Source organism: Homo sapiens, chromosome 9 (genome assembly GCF_000001405.40).
Source record: "Homo sapiens chromosome 9, GRCh38.p14 Primary Assembly".
Lineage (NCBI taxonomy): Eukaryota > Metazoa > Chordata > Mammalia > Primates > Hominidae > Homo > Homo sapiens.
Window position 1 is genome coordinate 127446586 of NC_000009.12, and position 14428 is coordinate 127461013.

The window sequence follows — 14428 nt, forward strand, 5'->3', positions numbered from 1 at the left end:
GGCACAAGCCACTGTATCTGAAATAGAATCCTATCCCTAACTCAGGAGGTCCAGGTAGTTAGTCTTTTCCACTTAAGGCAGTTCTCCAACCTGAGGTGACATAAAAGCACTGATCTAGAGACACTGGCAAAAACTAATGTGCAAAGAAATGAGTCATATAGGGGAAATCAATTTCTCTGGGCTACAACTTCCAACTCCCTTTACTCCAGTACCCAGAATCCTCTCCCAGGTGGTGCTTCAAGCTGCTCAGGAGTGCTTTAGGGTTCATCGCAAAACAAAAGGGAGTGATGAACACAGGCTCTATAAAGTTCATCAGAAGGAACAGAACTGTGGGAAGATGAGACTTGAGAAACGTGAGACAGCAGAAAATACTTTAAGCCACATGAGTTCAGAGGAAAGGTTGGAGTAACAGTTTATAGTTACTTCAACAGATGATGTGAACCTCACTTTCACAGGACCAAAGAATTAGTCCAGGACTCGGAGAGTGGTCAGGTCAGTGGTTCTGAGCCCTGGCTGTGCACTGGAATGGCTAGCAAAATGGATCCTGGGCCCCCAACCCACTCATAACTTCAGTTGGTCGGGGATGGAGAGCTACACTCCCCATGTGTTCCGGTTTTGTTAGAGCATTTCTTAGGAAAGGCTTCATGATAGTCTACAAAAAGTGCTTCCTGGCCAGGCATGGTGGCTCATGCCTATAATCCCAACACTTTGGGAGGCCAAAGGCAGGCGTATCAAGAGGTCAGGAGTTGACCTGACCAACATGGAGAAACCCTGTCTTTTAGCACGTGCCTGTAATCCCAGCTACTTAGGAGGCTGAGGCTGGAGAATTGCTTGAATCTAGAAGGCAGAGGTTGTGGTGAGCCGAGATTGCACCATTGCACTCCAGCCTGGGCAACGAGCGAAACTCTGTCTCAAAAAAAAAAAAAGGAAAGAAAGGCTTCCTTTCTGAGCTCAGCCCAGCCCATACAGGGCAGTTTTGTTACCCACCACAAGGTGCTTGTTACTTCTCCACAGGTTCTGCCACCCTGACCCCACTGACCACCCCACAAAGGAGCTAGCTCCCTCAAGGAAGACGCCACACCAGAAAATCCACCAGTTGTCAAATGATCCTTTATTGAAATGTTTTCCTTTGTGCTTAACTCTGTGGGAAAGAAAAAAAAAATCAGTAAAAAGTTTAAAAGGATTATCCCACCCCACCAGTAACCATTTCCAAAACTTCCCAGCTTATCTCTGTGAATACACTGGGTGGCCCCCCTTTCACCCCTACTGTAACAATGAAAATGTCACTTACGGCTGGGCATTCCACAGCACCACTGTTGATGTCATCGATGATGTCATGAGGATGGCGGCCATCAACATTACAGCCCACTGACTGGGCAGTCCCCAGGATCTCTTTAATGGTTCCTTTAAGTAAAGAAATGGTGGCATTGGAGGTGCTGGCTCAGTCCCTCACAATCTGCAGATACTGGGGAATACTGAAGGGGTTCATAGCAGGCAATGGAAGGAATGAGGTTCCTGCTCCCCTAATATAGAATATAGAGTTCCATCTAGTTCCATAACCCGGAATGCAAAGCTTCCATGGGTCCTTGATGCCCAGATTAAACACATCCAATTTACGATCCATCCTTTCAGTCCCAGAAAACTGCACCCCATCTTGGGTCTCACTGAGCACCCTTCAAGTAAGAAGAATGTTATCACTCAGTGAAAAACACAACTACAGTTATGGCGGTTACATGTTGTCCTGCTCTTACCAGAGAGTTCTCTGGCTAAGGATCGGTGCCGCATCTGTCGAGCAATGTTGACAATCTCATCAAAAGTGATATTCCCACTGTGTTTAACTGCAGAAGAGGAAACAGCAAAAGCTCTTTTAAAGTCTGAAGCCAAAGCAGATCATGTGTCCTTCATTTCATTTCTAGGCTGTTCCCATGCTTTCGGCACAGAGTCATCCACATGAAGAACAACCCTGTTTCCTAAGCTGGGGTTTACTATCAGCTCACCACTGGATTGCACCAGCCAACAGAGACCTGGTCAGGTGCAGTGGCGGGTGGCTGAGGGCAAAACCAAGCCTTCACAAATCTGACATGGCAGAAACTGTTTTAGAGAAATGACAAGCTTAAATTGCCAGGGAGTTAAACTGCCCAGTACCTGCCACCTGTATGTGGTCTCCTGATTATAGGTCATTATTGCTGACATCTTCCTCCCACATGCACTGATTGGGGCCTGCCCCACACAGGGACTACATGGCACTTTTTTTTTTTTTTTTGAGACGGAGTCTCACTGTTACCCAGGCTGGAGTGCAGTGGCACAATCTTGGCTCACTGCTACAACCTCCACCTCCTGGGTTCGAGTGATTCTCCTGCCTCAGCCGTCTGAGTAGCCAGGTCTACAGGCGAGCACCACCAGGCTAATTTTGTATTTTTTGGTGGAGATGGGGTTTCACCATGTTGGCCAGGCTGGTCTCGAACTCCTGATCTCAACTGATCCACCCGCCTCAGCCTCCCAGTGCTGGGATTACAGGTGTGAGCCACCCAGCATACGTGGCACTTTTTCATACTACCTGGCTCTAGCAGCCCTAACCATATCAACACCCAATACCCATGTCAACCCCAGGTTTCCTTTAAGGGAAAACACAGCCACATATATCAAACATCTCACAAACCATTACCAAAACCAAACTAGGGAAAAGACAACTTACTGTTTTTCTGTTTCTTTCTGTCTCTTGGTGGTTCCTTGAGGGCTTTGATGATCAGGGCAGAGGCAGAAGGCACCACCTCAATCTGCAGAAGAGATTCCTGAGTGAATACTCCACCTCCAGTGAATACTGCCATGCACGCTGGCTCTCAAAAATCATGGCCACACACTGTCCAAGTCTTTGCCCTAGGTCCGTACTCTTGACAAAGCCTCCCCAACAAGGTGAAATCACTCTCGGCTCACCACTGGTGGCAGAAATACTCTTCAGGAATCCCAGAGGGTTGCTACCTGTCCCCCCACCCTCCTCTCCCGAAACCAAGCACAAGCAAATACCTGGGCCTGTCTGTTCTGAATGGTCAGTTTCACTGTAATCCTCAGGCCCTTCCAGTCACCCGTTGCCTTGGCAATGTCATCACCAACTTTTTTTGGAGACTAGAAATAAAGGCATGTAATCAACATGGTGTCCAGAGGTGAACCACAGCCTTGAAACCTGCCCACCACTTCTCACTTGGCAACAAAGGAAGCTATCTCAAGTACCTAAGGGCACCTTCTCAATCAGAGCACAGCTATCACCATAGCATAAATTGGGGGTTGGGGTTCTTGTCCAGAACTGTAAACTGCAGACTTGGCCACAATGTAACCTAGACCCCCTCCTAAGTGCCCATGTGCTTAAGGAGGGGGATTTTCAGCCCTGCTGACATTAGAATCACCTAAGGAGCTTTCAAAATACTAGGCTCCCATGTCAGACCACCCACGTCCATCTTCCTGGATGGAGGTCTGATTATTTGCTACTCTGAAGTTCTCCTCCTCTAGTAATCCTTAGCCTCAACAGGAGGCTAAGTGTCCCTTAAGTGCCAGCTAACGGCCAAGGAAGAATAGTTAAGATACAGGTTAAAAAAGACCAATGGGGAAGAGCATTTGGGGCAGGGGAGCACTGTGCAAGGATTAAATAAAGGCCTAATGAAATTCAGAGAAATCCAAGAGGACAGAATGACGGGGAAGCCAGCAGTTGCTCAGCAGGCATGAGACACAGCCTGCCACATTAACTGCTAGGTTTACATCTACAACACAGCTGGAAACGCTCACTGGATCTTCACCCACACCCCGTTTAATCTCCCAACAACGCCATGCCCACTTCCTGACGAGGAAATACAGATGTTGGCTGCCCAATGTCTCTAAGCCAGTCCTAACTTCAAAACTCCCCCTTGGGCCCACCCCTCAGGTACACTAAAGCAGCAGTGGAGACACATGGAGCTAATTACAATTTAAAGGCACCAGGTTCGATTTTTCACACACGACCTTCCTAAGGTACCTAGTACTTGTTCAGTGGCTCAGGCCTACTGAGGGTGACAGTCCAAGCCACGAGGGCACCTCTGGCACAGGCGTGACTCCACGAGCCGGCGCTTAAAGTGAAACAAATGTGAAAAAAATGCCCCTTGGAGGGGATAACGTACCAGACCCAGGGGGCCGATCTTGGGGGCCAGGGCAGAAGTGGCACCGACTTCACCTCCGGTGCACCTCAGGTATACTGGGGGAAAAGAAGAGTTAGTGTCTGTGCAGAGGGAGCCCCGAGCCACAGCCCTCTCAGCGTCTTTCCGGGGTTGGACACGCCACCCTCTGCCTCTTCTCGAAACAGCACAGAGCGCGAGGCGGGCCACCCGCTCCTCCCTCGGGTGTGGGCAGCTCCGAAACTCACACCGGGGAGGCGTGGAGAGAGCCCCGTCGCCCGCTAACCCAGGCCAATGGGGCGAAACGCCCGGAGACAAGCCTTACCCTAGGGCGTGCGGGCTCCCAAGCCGCCACAGGTGGTCCAGTCCTCCCTCCCCACCTACACGTGAAGAAGCTAAGGCCCAGAAAGGCTGAGGCTTGGCCGGGGCGGCGCAACACCGGGAAGGTCTCTGGGAGGCAGCGGCTTTAAGAGCCCCATACGGGGAAAGCTTTGCACGCGCGGCAGGGCCGAGGGATGCTCCATCCCGCAGCCCCGGCCACAACCAGAGCACGCACCGACTTTGATCTCGTTGGGGTCGAACTTCGGCGGCATGGTGGAGGCGGCTGGTGTCGGATGAACCCGGATTCGGGACGACCGAAGGAAGTTGCACCTTGGCCTCCTCCGAGCCGAAAGCCGAGAGGCCGGAAATCGCGCGGACAAGCCAGATATAGGCAGGAAAACGCGGCTATCGCGAGAACTGTCGTCACTGCCCGGCCTTCCAGAGACGCCCTTGTCGCCATGTTTGTTGTGGGCAGGCGCCTGAGGCTGACGGCTGGCAAGCAGGGCACCGCGGTGCGCTGAAGCTAGAGATTCCGAAAGGGGGTTCGGGTAGTTCGCTCCGGAGAAGTCTGAGAAGGGTGGCTCCGGTGATCCCAGCCCTAGCTGTTTCCCATATTCCTTTATCGTGAGTGTCACCCCGGTCCCCGTCACCCAATCCCAGAGCCCCGCCCCTCCCCTGAGGGGTCCGTAGTCCCATTCCGAGACCCCAGTACCGCGGCGACCCCTGCTCCCTCGAGCACTTGTTGTGTGCACTTTAGTTATCAAAACAGTCTATGTGGAAATCCAGTCCCGCTCTTCATTCGGAGAGTCCGCGATTCCTAGAGCCTCAGACTTCGTCATCCCGGTCTGCGTGACTTTATGAGATTCTGAGTTTCTGTTCCCAGCACCTGCCTTTGAAGGAGACCAGACTCCGGCTCCGCCCGGCCCGTGCCGGGTGGTCTGCGGCCCCGAGTCCGTGACCAAGCCCTCCGAGTGATCGGCCTGCCCTCGGGTGCACCCGCGGGTCCCAACGTGGGGGATCCCTCCATCCGCAAAGCCAGGTCAGCCACTGCCCACCCCACCCCAGGAAATATGGGTGTGGCCCTCCCCCCGCATCTAGGCTGGACGTCGGAGAGGGAGGGACAGGCATGTGGGGCAGCCTGGAAAGAACTGATCTTCGGGGAGGGGTGGGAGAGCGATGGTGGTTGGGAGGAAGTGGGGAGGGCTGCACATCAGGAAGGGGGTGCAAGAGGGTTAGTGATTGGGGAGCAGAAGGGTAAGTGCTGGTCATCAGGGACGGATGGGGGAGGGCTGTTTTCAAACCATTCCCCATCCTTGCAGGCAGGTGGGGTGACAAGAGGGCCTGAACTGGCTCTGCAGGCCTGGCTGCCTCCCCAGACAGCCCCGCCCCCGTGGGTGCAGAGCTGCCATCTTTGCCCATCCCTCTGAGGACTGGGTGTATGTCTTCTTCAACTGCATCTCCTCCCATGACTATCTTCTCCCTAGCTCCTCTAGCGGGCCCTGAATCAATGTTGCTTGCATGTGGGTTGCTTTGTGGCTAACATTTATTGAGCGCTCATGTGCCAGGTACTGTACTAGGGGCTTGACATACATGAAGTCGCTGGATCCTCATAGAAGCCAGTGTTGGTAGCATGGTTACTCACACTTTACAGATGAGGAAACTGAGGCTCTGAGAGGTGAACCAAGGTGACCTCTGCAGTTGTGGGTGGCAGATTTCGGATTCAAACCCAGTTCTCTTTTCATCCCAAAGCCTGTGCTGCTCACCATGCACTTCCCTGGGTGATTGCCTCCTGGCTCATTGCCATCCCTTATCCAGCTCTGGTATTTACAGACACTGTGCAGGCCCTGGGCAGGCAGTGAGCACCTGGCTCTGAGTTCAGGACAGTGTACTTCGTGTGTGCCAAGTTATGTGAGCACCAAGCAGTCGGGCAAATCCCATAGGTCAGGACTTGAGAGACCACGGTTCCAGGCTGCAATCCAGGCTGTACAGCCAGGCCACTGAACTTAATAAGCATCTACTTCTTCACTTTATTTATTTATTTATTATTATTTTCTGAGACAGAGACTCCCTCTGTCACCCAGGCTGGAGTGCAGTGGCATGATCTTGGCTCACTGCAACCTCTGCCTCCTGGGTTCAAGCAATTCTCGTTCCTCAGCCTTCCAAGTGGCTGGGACTACAGGCGCATATCACCACGCCCAGCTTCTTTGTGTATTTTTAGTAGAGACGGGGTTTGACCATGTTACCCAGGCTGGTCTCGAACTCCTGGGCTCAAGTGACCCACCTGTCTTGGCCTCCCAAAGTGCTGGGATTACAGGCATGAGCCACCACACCCGGCGTGTTTCTTCACTTTAAAAAGGGTTATGGTGAGAACAAAATGGAATAATAACGAGGGTGGTAAGCTGAGAATTGCTTTTTAATTTGTATTCACCGCAGAGGTCTCTTTGGTCATGATGTAGTTGAGCTCCCTGAGGTCCTGGCTGGCTCTGGATTGCTCCTGCTGATCCTGCTCTGACAGCGTTTGGGGGGCTAGAAGTGATTCATTGGCAGAGTCTGTTAGAGTCCTCAAAGAACAGCCTTGGAAAGCACCTGAGGAAACGTCTCTAAGTTTCCCTAGAACAGGAAAAGGATAATGCCAAGGCCTCACTATGGGTCGGTGGCAAATATGGGCCCCAACCCAGGTCATCTGGCTTGTCTGTCTCCACCTCATCCTGCTGCTCAATGTTTAGTCAACAAAGAACAAGGAGTACTGAGTGCCTGCTGTGGGCTCAGGACACAGATGGAAGAACTAGAAAGACGCAGCCCCTCACCTCATGGAATTCACTAGAAAGATGTGGCCCCTGACCCCATGGAACTCACTAGAAAGATGTGGCCCCTGCCCCCATGGAACTCCATGAAACTAGGAAGACGCAGTCCCTGGCTCCATGGAACTCGCTAGAAAGACACTGACCCTTACCCCATGGAACTCACTAGAAAGACACAGCCCCTGCCTCCATGGAACTCAATAGAAAGACGCAGCCCCTGCCCCCGTGGAACTCACTAGAAAGACGCAGCCCCTGCCCCCGTGGAACTCACTAGAAAGACGCAGCCCCTGCCCCCGTGGAACTCACTAGAAAGACGCAGCCCCTGCCTCCGTGAAACTCACTAGAAAGACGCTGTCCCTGACCCCGTGGAACTCACTGGAAAGTCGCAGCCTCTGCCCCCGTGGAACTCACTAAAAAGATGCAGCCTCTGCCCCCATGGAACTCACTAGAAAGTTGCTGCCTCCATGGAACTCTCTAGAAAGACCCAGCCGCTGCCTCCGTGGAACTCACTAGGGAGACACAGCCCCTGCCTCCATGGAACTCATGGTCCAGCAGACCAGCTGCATGCTCTGTGTTACTGCACTACCTGTCCCGGGTGTTGGGGGCTGTGACAAATTCCCCAGTCCCTAACTTCTCTCCTGTGCCCCAGGGTCCTAAAGATCGCTCTGGGAAAAGGGAAGGATGCCGCTCTTCTTCCGGAAGCGGAAACCCAGTGAGGAGGCTCGGAAACGCCTGGAGTACCAGATGTGTTTGGTGAGGGAAAGTGGGTTTCCTCTAACTCTATCCCATCTCCTCCTCGGTCCCCATGGAGTAGGCCTCCGCACTGCCCCCAACAAGCCGTGCTCCTTCCCATCTGCCTCCCCCACCCACAGAAGAAATATTTGACTTAGACCCAACAGATGAGGCCCCCTGCCAAGGGTGCTTCTCCCCTGTAGACTGAGCGCACTGTCATTGCTTTTCAGTTCCTCATCCCTCTGGGCCTCAAGCTCTGGGAAAGCAGGGGTCATTGGTTCACCTGCCAAATGGACCAGTGGAACCAGATAGTGTCTATGGTCCTTTGCAGCTGCTTACATTTATGTTCTTTGCCTGGCTTGTCCACTCTGCAAAGGTGTTTTGTCTTAATACTTTTTAAAAATTCTTTTTATCCTTAGGCAAAAGAAGCTGGGGCAGATGACATTCTCGACATCTCTAAATGTGAGCTCTCAGAGGTAAACTGAGGATAGTGTTGGGCTGTGAATTGGATCTGTCCCGTTTTCTTGGATCTTGTGTCCCTAGGAAAGACAGAGGTGGACTGGGGCTTTAGAAAGGCCAGAAGCTCTAGTCACGAGATGTTTCCTTAGATTTTGTTCTCGTCCAAAATAATTGAAGATGATCCTTTGGCCTCAATATAACGTAGTCTCCAAGAGTCAAGGAGTCTAGGTAGAAAATGTACCCATAGACTCCTACATTGCTGGAAGGGCCTGGCATTCTCCAGCCCCTGAAGGGGTTCACAATGGGGACAGGGTGGGTGGGGCAGGGCAGTCTCCTGCCAGCTGACCGAGGGAAGGGCTGGCCACATCCCCAACACCACTGCTTGCCAGCCTTGCCCCTGGGCTCAGCACTGCCACCTGCTGTGGCGTTTTGCCCTTGTTCACCTCCTGCCTGTCTCTTCCTCACGTGAATGCCACTCAGAGAACAAGCTAAAAACTGGCAGGAGGGGAGACACTTACTCTTCTTTATCTTATCTTAGATTCCATTTGGAGCTTTTGCAACATGCAAAGTTCTGCAGAAGAAGGTAAGATGGAGCTTCATCTTCAGAGACTTTCTTGTTGCATGTCTGCTTGTTTGAACCCACAAGGGACTTTGAGGAGCTGTCTTCCCGGCGTAGACACCTCCTTTCTCTCTGCTTCTTATGCTCTTGGCCTGCAGCAGGTGTTTTCACAGATAGGAGAGTAGGCTTTGGGGTTGGACCTTCCTGTGTCACATTCTAACTCTGCCCTCACTGGCTTCATGACTTGGGCAACTTCCTTAAACTCTTACTTCTCAGTTTCTTCCCCTGTGAAATGAAGACATTCATAGTTCTCCTTCCTGAGGTATTGTGAGAATTAAATGAGTGGTAGATAGCTAGATAGAGATAGAAATATACTGAGTGTACATGCCTACCACGTAGTAAAGGCTTATGAACCCCGGTGTTAGTAATAATAGAAACTCACGCCTTTTATTCTGGTCACCCAGGGGAGATTCAGAGGGGAGTGAATGATTTTTCAGCAGAGCATTGCAGCTTTGAATGCAGATGGGTAGAAGCGCTCTAAGTGAAGTATCTAAATGAGAATATGCAAAAAAAAAAAAAAAAAAAAGTGTTCCCTGCCAACAGAGTAGTGAGCTCCTTGGCGCTGGAAGTTTTGTTTGTTTTTTTTTTTTTTTGAAGACGGACGCTCTGCTCTGTCACCCAGGCTGGAGTGCAGTGGTGCAATCTCAGCTCACTGAAACCTCCGCCTCCTGGGTTCAAGCAATTCTCCTGCCTCAGCCTCCTGAGTAGCTGGGATTATAGGCGCCCACCACCATGCCCAACTAATTTTTGTATTTTTAGAGATGAGGTTTTGCCATGTTGGCCAGGCTGGTCTCGAACTCCTGACCTCAAGTGATCCACCTGCCTTAGCCTGCCAAAGTGCTGGGATTACAGGTGTGAGCCACCACGCCCAGTCTGTGCTGGAAGTGTTGGGCCGCAGTCAATGCCTAAGAAAAATGCAGTAGATTGGCCGGGTGCGGTGGCTCATGCCTGTAATCCCAGCACTTCGGGAGGCCGAGGTGGGCAGATCACGAGGTCAGGAGATCAAGACCATCCTGGCTACCATGGTGAAACCCGGTCTCTACCAAAAATAAAAAAAAAATCAGCTGGGTGTGGTGGCATGCGCCTGTAGTCCCAGCTACTCGGGAGGGCGAGACAGGAGAATTGCTTGAACCTGGGAGGCGGAGGTTGCAGTGAGCTGAGATCACACCACTGCACTCCAGCTTGGGCGACAGAGCAAGAGTTGGTCTCAAAAAAAAAAAAAAAGAAAAGGAAAAATAGCAGTAGATGACCTGGACTGAGCCCTGGCCCCTCTGCCAGCCCTGGAAGTTTTGCGCATGAGCTTTTATTTAACATCATGGCAGCCCTGGGAGGCAAGCACTTTATTATTCTCTATTTTCCACGTGAAGACGCTGGTGCTGGGAAGGTTATGATCAGGATGGCTGCAGGGGGATCCCTTCTCAGATGGAAGGAAGATGTAGACCTCTAAGGTCTCTTTCACCCTTGAAGATCCAGGTTTTAAGGAAGGGCATTAGATTCCCCATTGGGAGAGTTCATGATACTGACCCGCATCCCCGTGGTGGTGTCTGGGAGAGCAAGATGGTGGGGCGTGGCACGGCGCTGGGCTGGCTCCCACGCCCTTAGCCTGCCCTGCCTGCTGCTCTTCCTCAGCCCAGCATGGCCGCACATCTCTCCACACAGGTGCTGATCGTCCACACGAATCACCTCACTTCCCTGCTTCCCAAATCCTGCAGCCTCCTGAGTCTGGCAACCATCAAGGTACTGGGCCCTCCTCCCAGGCAGCTGGGGCTCTGCATGGGGTTCCACGCGGCAGCTGAGCGCCTGCTCCTTTTGGGCTGCCTCTTGCATGTCAGAGGGGCCCAATCTACCAGTCAGTCTGGGATTTGATCAGTATGGTTTACTGGATACTTCTGTGGGCTGTGTGTGGGTTAGGGTGACAAAGATGACCAGCCACAGGCCCTGTCCCTGGGGAGTTTACATGCCAGGAGGAAAGCCAAGTGACAGCCTCATGGCGAGTCAGCTAGCAGAGGGCGAGGAGACTGATGGTCCCAGGCAAGAAGGAAGAGGAGGGACGCGCAGGTGATCTGGAAGGACTCCCTGCTGACTGTGAGCTCCTCCCCGGATGGGCTGGGAGGCATTCACAACATGTGGGAGGTGTGAGCCCAGGGTTGTTATGCGCAGACCTGAGCTTGGGAGAGTGATATGCACCTTCAGAGGAGGCCGGCAGCACAGGTGTCAGCCCAGCAGCACAGGCCCAATCTGTTATACTATATTGTTTAGGGAATAATGACAAGAGAAAAGCCTGTATGTGTTCACTACAGATGCTTTCTTTCTTTTTTTTTTTTTTAATATTTTGCACCTGAGTTTGGTTGAATCCATAGATATGGAGGGTACCTGTGTGTGCACATGTATAAATATTTCTCCAAGGCCTTTTTTGTGCATTTTCATTTTTAAAAAATTAGCAGTCAGTCGTGGTGGCTCACACCCATAATCCTAGCACTTTGGGAGGCCAAGGCGGGTGGGTCACTTGAGGTCAGGAGTTCAAGACCAGCCTGGCCAACATGGTGAAACCCCGTCTCTACTAAAAATACAAAAAATTAGCCGGGCGCGGTGGCGGGCGCCTGTAGTCCCAGCTACTCGGGAGGCTGAGGCAGGAGAATGGCGTGAACCCGGGAAGCGGAGCTTGCAGTGAGCCGAGATTGCGCCACTGCAGTCCGCAGTCCGGCGTGGGCGACAGAGCGAGACTTCGTCTCAAAAACAAAACAAAACAAAACAAAACAAAACAAAAAAAAACACCAGCAGAGCATGTTGGCTTGTGCTTGTAATCCCAGCTACTTGGGAGGCTGAGGCACGAGAATCACTTGAACCCAGGAGGTGGAGGTTGCAGTGAGCTGAGGTCGTGCCACTGCACTCCAGCCTGGGTGACAGAGTGAGACTCTGTCTCAAAATAAAACAAAATAAAATAAAATTAAATTAAAAATTAGCAAGTACAGTTAAGCAAAGGGGGAAACATCTATAATTTTACACTGTGGAGTACCACTGTCAATATTTTATCGCATATTTGAAAGTCTTACATATTTATACAATGGAGTGTTTCTTTTTAACATATTAGTATCTAGGCATACTGTTTTATAGCATAGTTTTTCAGTTAACAGTAAAAATAAATATACATAAAATAAGAAAATGGTATAATGGTTTGAGAAGGAAAATGAGGCGGGAATGATCAACACTGAGTGGGAAAGGAGTGGCAGGCACTCTGTTTCTGCACTGGGGGTGTGAGGTGGCCCCAGCCCCTCCTCAGCGCTCTGGAGCCCGGAGTCTGAGGGACTTTCTCACTTGGAGACTCACAGGGGTCTTTCTTCTGCAGGTTCTAGATCTCCACGATAATCAGCTGACAGCCCTTCCTGACGATCTGGGGCAGCTGACTGCCCTCCAGGTAAGGCTGCAGAAACAGAAACCCACCTCGGATGGCCTTAGTGAGACCAGGCAGTCACTCAAGCCTGGAATGTTCTGGCCGGGCTCCAGCCAGTGGAAGCAGGCTGCAATCAGTGCCAGCTCCACCCTCCCCTTGGCCCTTTGGGGTTTTTTTTTTTTTTTTTGAGGCAGTGCCTCACTGCGTTGCCCAGGCTGGGGTGCAGTGGCGCCATCAGAGTTGCAGAGGCAACCTCTGCCTCCCGAGTTCAAGCGATTCTCCTGCCTCAGCCTCCCTAGTAGCTGGGATTACAGGTGTGTGCCACCACTCCCAGCTAGTTTTTGTATTTTTAGTAGAGATGGTGTTTCGCCTTGTTGGCCTGACTGGTCTCAAACTCCTGACCTCAAGTTATCCACTCACTTTGGCCTCCCAAAGTGCTGGGATTACAGGTGTGAGCCACCACGCCTGACCAATTGTACCACTTTGAGCCACAATAAATACCTTGGTGTAGGACTTTTTGTATGTGTATTTTTTTTTTCTCACTCTTGTCACCCAGGCTGGAGTGCAGTGGCACCATCTCAACTCACTGCAACATCTGCCTCCCGGGTTCAAGAGATTCTCATGCCTCAGCCTCCTGAGTATCTGGGATTACAGGCACACGCCACCACACCTGGACAATTTTTGTATTTTCAGTAGAGACTTGTTTTCACCATGTTGGCCAGGCTGACCTCAAACTCCTGGCCTCAGGTGATCCACCCGTCTTGGCCTCCCAAAGTGCTGGAATTACAGGCATGAGCCACTGCACCTGGCCAGTAGGTGTATTTTTATAGAATTGCTGCATTCACTAATTTGTAACTTTTGGATACCTGACAATAACTCATAGCATCCTTTGGTTCATCAAATATTCATCTTATTATTTTTAATGGCTACTTAGCTTTCCATTGCATCATTTTTTGTTTGTTTGTATTTTTGAGATAGAGTCTCGCTCTATCACCAGGCTGGAGTGCAGTGGTGTGATCTCGGCTCACTGCAATCTCCACCTCCCGGGTTCAAGCGATTCCCCTGCCTCAGCCTCCTAAGTAGCTGGAATTACAGGCGCCCACCACTATGCCTGGCTAATTTTTTATATTTTAGTAGAGACGGGGTTTCACCATGTTCACCAGGATGGTCTCAATCTCCTGATCTCATGATCCACCCACCTCAGCCTCCCAAAGTGCTGGGATTACAGGTGTTAGCCACCGTGCCTGGCCCCCATTGCATCTATTTTTAATGGTTAGTGTGTCATCCTGCTAGCCTTGCTCACCTCGAGGTACCACCTTCTGGAGGGAGCACAGCTTCGGAATCCAACAAGCCCTGGTTCAGTCCCAGCACCACTGCCGGCCTGAGGCCTTGGGTGGATCACACGGCCTTAGGGCAGCCTTTTCCTTAAGGCCAGGGGAACTAGAGCCTCCTGTGCTGCCTCCCCAGATCCCCAAGTCTGTAGTCCCCTTCTCCCTCCTTCCCTGATGGTGGGGCAGTTACTGAGCATTTTGTGGTCGGTGTAAGTGCTGGAACCTCAGCCAGAAGGGGTTCAAGGCCTGGCTGTGCTCTCCTGAGCACGTGACTTTGCCACCCTGAGCTTCAGTTTTTTTCCTGTCTCCAGCGGAAACAAGAATTTCTGTCTTCCTCAAGGGCCGGTAGGGGGAGATAAGAGCTTGTGTGTGTAGTGCCTGGGTGCCCTGGCCCGGCAGGGCGAGGGGTGCGGGGGTCATCACTGTGGTCTGTGTGTGGGTTCTCGTGTCACCTCTTCCTGTTTCTTTCTTTTTTTTTTTTTTTTTTTTTTTTTTGAGACGGAGTCTCACTCTGTTGCCCAGGCCGGAGTGCAATGGTGCAATCTCAGCTCACCGCAACCTCTGCCTCCTGGGTTCAAGCAATTCTCCTGCCTCAGCCTCCCGAGTAGCTGGGACTACAGGTGTGTGCCACCATG

The 14428-nt window shown here is 51.6% G+C and overlaps 2 protein-coding genes and 1 non-coding gene across 12 annotated transcripts in view, besides 5 other annotated features; 1 reads left to right on the forward strand and 2 right to left on the reverse strand.

Annotated features, from left to right (window-relative positions):
- Positions 120-189: an enhancer, noted in NCBI's record as "active region_29040". NCBI's record gives its function as "activates an Ori minimal core promoter by ATAC-STARR-seq in GM12878 lymphoblastoid cells {active_cell/tissue: GM12878}" and the evidence as "EXISTENCE:reporter gene assay evidence [ECO:0000049][PMID:35858748]".
- On the reverse strand, positions 1089-4821 carry RPL12 (ribosomal protein L12). Its single transcript, NM_000976.4, has 7 exons — positions 4696-4821; positions 4146-4219; positions 3025-3123; positions 2696-2777; positions 1752-1838; positions 1292-1404; positions 1089-1141 (listed from the first exon to the last, which is right to left on the reverse strand). The coding sequence occupies exons 1-7, from the start codon at positions 4730-4732 to the stop codon at positions 1136-1138; spliced, it is 498 nt and encodes a 165-aa protein (NP_000967.1). The 5' UTR covers positions 4733-4821; the 3' UTR covers positions 1089-1135.
- SNORA65 (small nucleolar RNA, H/ACA box 65) lies at positions 1917-2052 on the reverse strand. Its single transcript, NR_002449.2, has one exon. It is a non-coding gene; the product is annotated as a small nucleolar RNA, H/ACA box 65 (small nucleolar RNA).
- Positions 2993-3536: an enhancer, noted in NCBI's record as "NANOG-H3K27ac hESC enhancer chr9:130211857-130212400 (GRCh37/hg19 assembly coordinates)". NCBI's record gives its function as "activates a minimal SCP1, AML or CMV promoter by ChIP-STARR-seq in primed H9 embryonic stem cells {active_cell/tissue: H9 hESC(primed)}" and the evidence as "EXISTENCE:reporter gene assay evidence [ECO:0000049][PMID:30033119]".
- Positions 4079-4622: an enhancer, noted in NCBI's record as "NANOG-H3K27ac-H3K4me1 hESC enhancer chr9:130212943-130213486 (GRCh37/hg19 assembly coordinates)". NCBI's record gives its function as "activates a minimal SCP1, AML or CMV promoter by ChIP-STARR-seq in primed H9 embryonic stem cells {active_cell/tissue: H9 hESC(primed)}" and the evidence as "EXISTENCE:reporter gene assay evidence [ECO:0000049][PMID:30033119]".
- Positions 4588-4987: an enhancer, noted in NCBI's record as "active region_29041". NCBI's record gives its function as "activates an Ori minimal core promoter by ATAC-STARR-seq in GM12878 lymphoblastoid cells {active_cell/tissue: GM12878}" and the evidence as "EXISTENCE:reporter gene assay evidence [ECO:0000049][PMID:35858748]".
- LRSAM1 (leucine rich repeat and sterile alpha motif containing 1) overlaps positions 4901-14428 on the forward strand; it is a 52016-nt gene continuing 42488 nt past the window's right edge. For 6 of the 10 annotated variants that reach the window (NR_168892.1, NR_168891.1, NM_001005373.4 and 3 more), the window contains exons 1-7: positions 4925-5084; positions 5344-5499; positions 7911-8014; positions 8413-8469; positions 8991-9035; positions 10731-10808; positions 12418-12486. Coding sequence is in view for 7 of the 10 variants with exons in the window: in NM_001005373.4 (NP_001005373.1) it covers positions 7943-8014; positions 8413-8469; positions 8991-9035; positions 10731-10808; positions 12418-12486 (321 nt within the window). In the remaining 3 variants the exon portion in view is untranslated. Of the gene's footprint in view, positions 5500-5669; positions 5715-6893; positions 8015-8412; positions 8470-8990; positions 9036-10730; positions 10809-12417; positions 12487-14428 lie in introns of those variants that run through there. The other 4 variants (XM_047424058.1, NM_001384142.1, NM_138361.5 and 1 more) reach the window with 3 other exon arrangements.
- Positions 8782-8831: an enhancer, noted in NCBI's record as "active region_29042". NCBI's record gives its function as "activates an Ori minimal core promoter by ATAC-STARR-seq in GM12878 lymphoblastoid cells {active_cell/tissue: GM12878}" and the evidence as "EXISTENCE:reporter gene assay evidence [ECO:0000049][PMID:35858748]".